Here is an 8,985-nt window from a genome sequence, read left to right as displayed (position 1 = left end):
CAGTAATTCAGAGAAAGCTGGAGTGGATGACTTACTATCAGACAAGGTAGACTTTAGGACAAAAGAAAATTGCCAGGGACAAAGAAATACATTACATAATGATGAAGAGGTCAGATCACAAAAAGACAACAGGTGTGCATTAACCAAATAACACAGCTGCAAAGTATATGATCTAAGAATTGATAGAACTAAAAGGAAAAAATGGACAAGTTTACAGTTTACAGTTGGGGACTTCAACACCCCTTGTTTAGTAATGGATAAACCCACTAGACAAAAAGCAAGTGCGTGGGAGAACTGAACAGTACTATCAGCCAATACGTAATACACATTTTTTGGGCATTTATGGGACATTCACCAAGATAGACCATATCTTGGGTTATGAAACAAACTCTAACACATTTAAAGTAAGTGAAACATATAAAATATGTGACCATAAATGAATCAAACTAGAAATCAATAACAACAGAAAAACCTCCCCAAACTTGTAAGTTGTCAAAGAGGAAGTCTCAAGAGAAGTAAAATACATCCTGAGCTGCATGAACTTGGAAATACAGCAATCATTTTTTATAAAAGGTATTTATTGCTTTAATCTATGAATCAATAAAATTTTGCTTTCATAAGAAGAATGAAATGTGATCACAAGAAATGCAAAACAGTATGTTTAGTAGATGCTGGTGTTAGCACCCATCCACTATTTCTTCTTTAATAGAGTTCTGACTTGGTTAGGTTCCCATCCTTATCCTCTCCCACACAGGTAAAATTCTCAGGTAAAGCCCCAGGATTAGACTGAAATTACATCACCCTTGCCAGTGATGGGTTCAATGATGTGGTTCATAACTACATATGGTTATGTAATTCATATGTGGACTAAAAGCATGAAGAAAGGTTTTCTAGAGACATCTGGAAATGTTCTTTCCCACATCTAGGTGAGAACTATGAGAAGTCAGCCTCTCTCCCAACAGAGTTGAACAAGGAAAACAGGTAATTTGGTTGCTACCAGCAACTATCCAACAACTATGGGACAAACAAAAACCCAAAAACCTTTAGGATAATGGTGATCCTGGTTGGCAGAGTAGAGAGGCAGAAAAAAAAAAACTTTTCAATGACACTTTAAAAAAAATTAATTCATTGGCTGGGATTGGTGGCTCACTCCTGTAATCCCAGCACTTTGGGAGGCCATGGCAAGTGGATTGCCTGAGCTCAGGAGTTCAAGACCAGCTTGGGCAATATGGCTAAACCTTGTCTCCACAAAAAATAGAAAAATTAGCTGGGCATGGTGGTGTGCACCTGTAGTCTCAGCTACTCAGGAGGCTGAGGTGGGAGGATCATTTGAGCCTGGGAAGTCAAGGCTGCAGTGAGCTGTGATTGTGCCACTGCACTCCAGCCTGGGTGACAGGGTGAGACCCTTTCTCAAAAACAAACAAAAAACGTTTATTGAATAACAAGTTTAATTTATCAGTGGGCTTTTTAAAATTAAGAAACTTTTCACTAATCAAAATTTTTAAAGATAAATAACAATTATCCAGAATGTTTACATAATTGTAAAAGCTTGATATGGATTATTTGAACATTAAAAACAATAGGCCGGGCATGATGGCTCACACCTGTAATCCCAGCACTTTGGGAAGCCGAGGTGGGTGGATCACCTGAGGTCAGGAGTTCGAGCCCAGCCTGGCCAACACGGTGAAATCCCGACTCTACTAAAAATACAAAAAATTAGCCAGGCATGGTGGTGGACTCCTGTAATTGCAGCTTCTCGGGAGGCTAAGGCAGGATAATTGCTTGAACCTGGGAGGTGGAAGTTGCAGTGAGCCAAGATCACACCACTGCACTACAGCCTGGGTAATAGAGCAAGAAACCACCTCAAAAAATAATAGTAATTCTTGTTATTTATATACTTCAATCAGTGCCTTAGCCATGTCTGTTTGTAACACCTTGTTGCATTTTCCTGAAAATTTTTTTTTCAGTATAGTCATTTAATTTTTTTAAATAAAATTGTTTACAGTTTTCTTCAAATTACAGTTTATAGTTTACATATTGGAAATTGTTGATATATCTAATTGACTCTTCTCTTCCTAACTGAAACTTCATACTTTTAGACCAACATCTCCCTCTTCCCCCCACCTTCTTCAGTCCCTGGCATTTCTACTCTCTGCTTCTATGGGTTCAACCTTTTTAGAGTCCTTGTATAAGTGAGAGCATGCAGTATTTTTCTTTCTGTGCCTGGCTTATCTCACTTAGTATAACATCCTCCAGATTCATCCATGTTGTCACAAATGACAGGACTTCCTTCTTTTTTAAGGCTGAGTAGTATTCCACTGTGTGTGTGTGTGTGTGTGTGTGTGTGTGTAACATTTTCTTTATCCATTCATGCATTGATGGACACTTAGGTTGATTCTGTGTCTTGGCTATTATGAATGATGCTGCAACAAATATGGGAGTGCAGATATCTATTGGACATACTGGTTTCATTTCGTTTGGAAATATACCCAAGTGTATATACTCAAGTGGAATTGCTGGATCATACGTGCCATGGTTTGGATATGGTTTGTTTGACCCTGCCAAGTCTCATGTTGATATTTGATCCCCATTGTTGGAGGTGGGACCTGGTGGGAGGTGTTTGAGTCATTGGATCCCTAAGGAATGACTTGGTGCTATCCTCAAGGTAATGTATGAGTTCTCACTCTATTAATTACCATGAGAACTGGTTGTTAAAAAGAGCCTAATGCCTGCCTCCTCTCTCTCTTGCTCTCTCTTTCTCTCTCACCATGTGATCTCTGTACATGCCTGCTCCCATTTGCTTTCCACCATAAGTGGAAGCAGTTTGATATAGATGCCAGTACTGCATCTTGTACAGCCTACAGAACTCTGAGCCAAATAAACTTATTTCCTACGTAAATTATCCAGCCTCGGCAGAGCGCAGTGGCTCACACCTGTAATAGTACTTTGGGAGGCTGAGACAGGAGGATTGCTTGAGGCCAGGAGATAAAAACCAGCTTGCACAACATAGTGAGACTCCTGTCTCTACAAAAAATAAAATAATAATTTACCCAACCTCAAGTATTCCTCTGTAGCAACACAAATGGACTAAGACAATATGGTAGTTCTATTTTTTAATTTTTTGAGCAACCTCTATACTGTTTGCCATAATGACTGTACTAATTTACCTTCTCACCAAAAGTGTGCAAGGAGTTTTCTTTTCTCCACATCCTTATCAACCTATCTTTTGTCTTTTCAATAGTAACCTTCTTTTTTTTTTGGGATGGGGTTTCACTCTGTCGCCCAGGCTGGTGTGCACTGGCATGACCTCGGCTCACTGCAACCTCTGCCTCCCAGGTTCAAGTGATTTTCCAGCCTCAGCACCCCCAAGTAGCTAGAATTACAGGTATGTACCACCACACCCAACTACATTTTGTATTTTAGTAGAGATGGGGTTTCACTATGTTGCCCAGGCTGGTCTCGAACTCCTGACCTCAAATGATCTAGCCATCTCGGCCTCCCGAAGTGCTGGGATTACAGGTGTGAGCCACTAGGCCTGGCTTTTTTTTTTTTTTTTTTTTTTTTTTTTTTTTTAAGACAGAATCTCAATCTGTCACCCAGGCTGGAGCGATAACTCAGCTCACTGCCACCTCCACCTCCTGGGTTCAAGCGATTCTCTTGCTTCAGTAGCTGGGACCGAGTAGCTGGGATTATAGGCATGCACCACCATGCCTGGTAAATTGTTGTATTTTTAGTATTTTTAGTAAGGACAGGGTTTCACCATGTTGGCCAGGCTAGTCTTGAACTCTCACCTCAAGTGATCTGCCCACCTCAGCCTCCCAAAGTGCTGGGATTACATGTGTGAGCCACCATGCCCAGCCAATAATAGCCATTTTAATAGGTATGAGATGATATCTCTGTGGTTTTGATTTGCATTTCCTGATGATTAGTGATGTTGGGCGTTTTTTCATATACCAGTTGGCCGTTTGTATGTCTTCTTCTGAGAAATGTCTATTTAGTTTTGGAAATTTCTATTGACTTATCCTCAAGTTCAGAAATTCTTTCCTCAGCCATGTTCAGGTTACCTTTGATGCAGGATTTTTCTCAGCCCCTTTGCTGGACTCATGGAAGGGGTGCCCATCTACTCCGCCCACCATGCTCAACCCCTTGTGGGAGGGAGAACATGAGAGAGTGAGTGCAGGCTCTGGCTGGCTGCTTCAGGCACTGACACAGGAGCAATCTCTGTGCAGGGCCTGCACAGACCAGGCGTGTCGCCTTGAGGGGAACATGGTGGCACCCAGGTGAGGGTGCCCACAACCTTCCTTCCTGAAGTCCCAAGGAAGTGTTACAGTGCTCCTTTAGTTCTGCACTGCGGACGGTGGTGTATTAGCAGCTCAGTTGGCCCCTTGCCTTGTTGTGTGGGGTGGCTGCCCTGCACTGACAAGCACAAAGGGCTGATGTGACAGCCTTTCTGGGGACTTGAATTCCATGGGTCCTGAGCATTTGTCTGGTTTCCAAAAAGAATGAGATCATGCAAATGAAGGAAGGTGAAGGCAGAGAATTTTATTGAGTGATGAAAACTGCTCTCAATAGAGAGGGGAGCTGGAGAGGAGATGGGAAGGGCAGGTCGTCTTCCCTGGAGTTAAGTCATCTTTTCCCCAAAGTCAGGCCATCTCCTCCTCTTCCAACTGAGTCTGGGGTCTTTATAGGCACAGGAAGGGGGGTGGATGCTGATTGGTTTGTGTGTATGCAAGAAAGGTTAAAGTGAAGCCTCCACTCAAAGGTGGGCATGACAGTGTAGAAAACCTATTAGAAAAGGATAGGTATATGTAAAATAGGTGAAGGGTGGGGCCCAATCAGAGGAAAGCATGCCAAACAGGAAGATGATTTCTCAATCCGTTCCGAGGATTTAACCTGTAGCTTGGCTTTCAGGCTTTCAACTGTCTTCAGCTTGGAGGTGGGGTTTCACTGGAGATCCACCCCTATCTGCCCAGGAATTTGGCTGCCTGCTGTCACTATCACCTTGAGCTCATCAAAGGCATTCTTCATTGTTGTTTATAGCAGTTTTGATTGTGTGTTAGGCTGTCTTTGCATTACTATAAAGAATACCTCAGGCTGAGTAATTTATAAAGAAAAGAGAGTTAATTAGCTCATAGTTCTGTAGCCTTTACAGGAAGTGTGGTGCTGGCATCTGCTTGGCTTCTGGTGAGGGCCTCAGGAAAGTTTTACACTTGGCAGAAGGTGAAGTTGGAGCAGGAATGTCACGTGGTAAGAGCAGGAGCAAGAAAGCAAGGAGGGCGGTGCCACACACATTTAAACAATGAGATCTCTCATGAACTCACTCATCACCAAGGGGATGGTGCTACGCCATTCATGAGGCACCCACCCCCAGGATCCGTATACCTCCCACCAGGCCCACCTCCAACAACTGGGGGTCACATTTCAACTTGAGATTTGGAGGAGACAAATACCCAAACCATAGCAGATACCTAGCATTTCTTTTTCATTCTTTCTTAGAATTTATATCTCTCTGCTTACATTATCTATCTGTTCTTGCAGTTTGTCCAATTTTTTCATTAGAGCCCTTAGCATATTAATTTAATTAAGCAATTAAAGTTGTTTTAAATTCCCAGTCTGATCATTCCAACATCCTTTGCATGTCTAAGTCTGGTTCCATGCTTGCTCTGTCTCTTCAAACTGTGTTTTTTGCCTTTTAGTGTGCATTGTAATTTTTTATTGAGAATTGGACATAATGGGCTGGGTGAAAAGGAACTCTGGTAAATAGGTCTTTATTACTAATGTGTTTGTATGTGCTTGATGGGTCATAGTCCTACGATTAAGTCAGTCTTTTAGTGACCCTGTGTACCTAAGCTATAAATTTTGAAGTGCCTGTCAGTTTTTCCCCACCTTAGGTGGGATGGGGGGCTGAAGTTGGGTATCCCTTCCCCTAGGTAAGTTAGACCCAGATAAAACACCAATAGGTTAGGCTCTGGTAAACTAGTTTATCTTGAGGACAGGCCTTTTAAGAAAGAACAGAATGCCAGTCGCGGTGGCTCACACCTGTAATCCCAGCACTTTGGGAGGCCGAGGCGGGCGGATCACGAGGTCAGAAGCTCAAGACCAGCCTGACCAACATTGCGAAACCCCGTCTCTACTAAAAATACAAAAATTAGCCAGATGTGGTGGCACGTGCCTGTAGTCCCAGCTACTCAGGAGGCTGAGGGAGGAGAATCGCTTGAACCCAAGAGGCGGAGGTAGCAATGAGCTGAGATTGTGCCACCGCACTCCAGCTTGGGCGACACAGCAAAACTCTGTCTCAAAGTAAAAAAAAAGAACAGAATGCTCTGGTATATTTTTTTAAATGGTTACTTCCCACTCTTTCTGCTGGAAGCCAGAAGGGATTTTTCTGCTATGCACTGGAAGAACCTGGTAGAGGTCCCAGAGGAAAAAGTCACAAGAGAGCAGTGGGGGTGGGGGCTATGACTGAGTCATGTTGGAGTTTTTAACTCATAGACTTGTCCATACAGAACCACAAACGATTTGTCAATTACAGGGCAGCTTTCCTGCCCTGGAATGGTTCCCACAAAGCTTTCTGCTTGTGAGTTTCCTCCCCAGTAAATTGTGGTTCTCTGTGTCCAGCTGTCTGTTTCTCTGTCTGGGGGCAACAGTTTGCCCTGTGACCTCACTTCCCTGACAGACCTGAGAAGAGTTGTTTATTTTTCAGTTTGTCCAGCTTTTGACGTACTAGGATGGAATGGCATCTTTGAAGTCCTTACATGTTAGATCAGGATTTCAATGGCATTTTAATCTGCTGGATTATTCAGTCCTGAAATCACCCTCTCTGAACTGCTTTTTATATGGGCTAATTTCTTTATTTTTTGAAGTCAGTTCGAGTTGAGGTTTTGGTAACTTGAAACTGAAAGCATTCCAATAAAGTACAGTTGACCATAAAAATGAGACAAAAACCCTCAAAATTACGTGAGGAAGCTCTAATTAGTATCAAATACAGAACAGAAGACCAAGTACTCATGGCTGACTAACTCGGGCGCAGTGGCTCACGCCTATAATCCCAGCACTTTTGGAGGCCTAGGCGGGCGGATCACGAGGTCAAGAAATCGAGATCATCCTGGCTAACACGGTGAAACCCCTTCTCTACTAAAAATCCAAAAAAATTAGCTGGGCATGGTGGCGGGCACAGTTATCCACCCTCCATGGCCTCCAGAAGTAACATTTTAATGAAAGAGATCTAGTCTTGAAAAGTATCCTTGGAGTCTGGGGTAAGAGAGTAAACTTTTTTTCCTATATCTCTGCCAAAATGTATTCCAAGTTACCTGTCTCAGAAATGTTGAAGCAGCTATAAAATTATCAAGATGAACTGAGAGCTTTATGAATTTATATGTCCTCTTCAGTCAGACAACCATATTCACCTGGAGGTTACAGAAACAACAGGTTTCTGTGTCTCAAGGTGACCTATAAATGTGACACAGATTACCAGCACTATAGGTGTGCTAGTATAGATCATATGAATCTGCTGAGTTTTAAGCCAGAATAGCTGTTAGTGCTGTGCCTTTCACCCATTGGACATATATTTTATTTTAAAATGCATATTGTATTCAGAAAGCTACCTCTCAGTTTTAATTTAAACCTTAGTTATTTAAAAGCCAAATTTATTCTAGATTTTTATAAACAACAAGAAATAGTTTTAGTAAGGGAAGACGGCTGCCATGTTTTTGCTGAGGTTCCAAGAAGTGCCTCCTGAGAACCTGGGGATGAGGGAAGTAGGGTCGCCCTCTGCCGGGTACACATGGAACAGCTACAAGGAATGGAAGTGATTGGTGATCCTTTTCAGGGAATAAACCAAGAGATTGTTTTCAAATGTTTGACTAAGTCATTATCCCCAAACTCCTGTTAAGGTGATGAGAATAGAGACTGAGGCTCAAAGTGGAAGACAGCAATGTAGACATAATTTATCAACTAAAAATTTAATCTTTTGGAATGAGACTAAAGGGACATATTAAGGTCAATCCACTGGGAGCCAGAAGAGAGATGCCCAGAGAGCTGGAGGTTGGCAGGACCTTTCTAACCACCATCCCTGAGCACACCATCCCATGTGTGTGTCCTGGGCCCTGGGGTTTTTGTATTCCTGTTGTTGGGCATGATATTAACTCCCTTTGTTATCATTCCATCTTCATCAAACATGTCAGTGCCAGCATTTGAGGTTTACTTGACAGATACATCTTTCATTATAAACTCATAATATGAAATTCTGGCTTATATATCCATCTCTAATGAGTTTGGTTAATGTGAATCTACCCCATAAGACAAAATCAGTCAGGCTATGCCCAAATCTGTCTTTTGAGCTAGCAGGTTGGGAGACAGACCAAAGTAAATGTCGCTTCCAAGACTCTTGGCAGTTAAAGTGCTGGGCTTCTCAGTCAGTACTCATTTCTGCAACACAGCTTAATATGAACTGCAGCAGAAGACAATGGAAAATGCAGTTCAACATTTCACTCGCTTTTGGCTCTGAATGCATTTTATACAACATTTCGTCATTTGAGGGCAACACTATGTATGTATGTACATTACAAAGATACATACAATGCAACAATTAAATAGATTTTAGATGTCACAGTAAATAGAAATTTAGGGTATGATAGTCAAGTAACATACTTTATCAGTGCCTGTGCAATTTCCAAAGGACAGCCATACATTTGTCTCTGATCTTAGTAGCCAGATACAGGAGCACAATTAATTCCAAATTTAATGGGTTCCTAAAGATAAAAGTTAGCTTGTTGTCTAAGACAAGCCAACTCTACCCAGTAGAGCTGAGAGAGTATTTTCCTCAGGTTCCCATAAAGAAGACAATTTGAGCTTATAGAAAATGTTCTCAACAGCTGGGTGCGGAGGCAGGAGAATCATTGGAATCCAGGAGGTGGAGGTTGCAGTGAGCCAAGATTGTGCCACTGCACTCTGGCCTGGGCAACAGAGTGAGACTGTCTCAAAAAA

At 42.1% G+C, this 8,985-nt stretch overlaps 1 annotated feature.

Moving 5' to 3' along the window:
- Nucleotides 4,562–5,372: an enhancer, noted in NCBI's record as "OCT4-NANOG-H3K27ac-H3K4me1 hESC enhancer chr2:71330180-71330990 (GRCh37/hg19 assembly coordinates)". NCBI's record gives its function as "activates a minimal SCP1, AML or CMV promoter by ChIP-STARR-seq in naive H9 embryonic stem cells {active_cell/tissue: H9 hESC(naive)}" and the evidence as "EXISTENCE:reporter gene assay evidence [ECO:0000049][PMID:30033119]".

This window comes from Homo sapiens, chromosome 2, assembly GCF_000001405.40.
Source record: "Homo sapiens chromosome 2, GRCh38.p14 Primary Assembly".
In the NCBI taxonomy this organism is placed as follows: Eukaryota; Metazoa; Chordata; class Mammalia; order Primates; family Hominidae; genus Homo; species Homo sapiens.
This window is presented reverse-complemented; position numbering and strand designations above follow the sequence as displayed.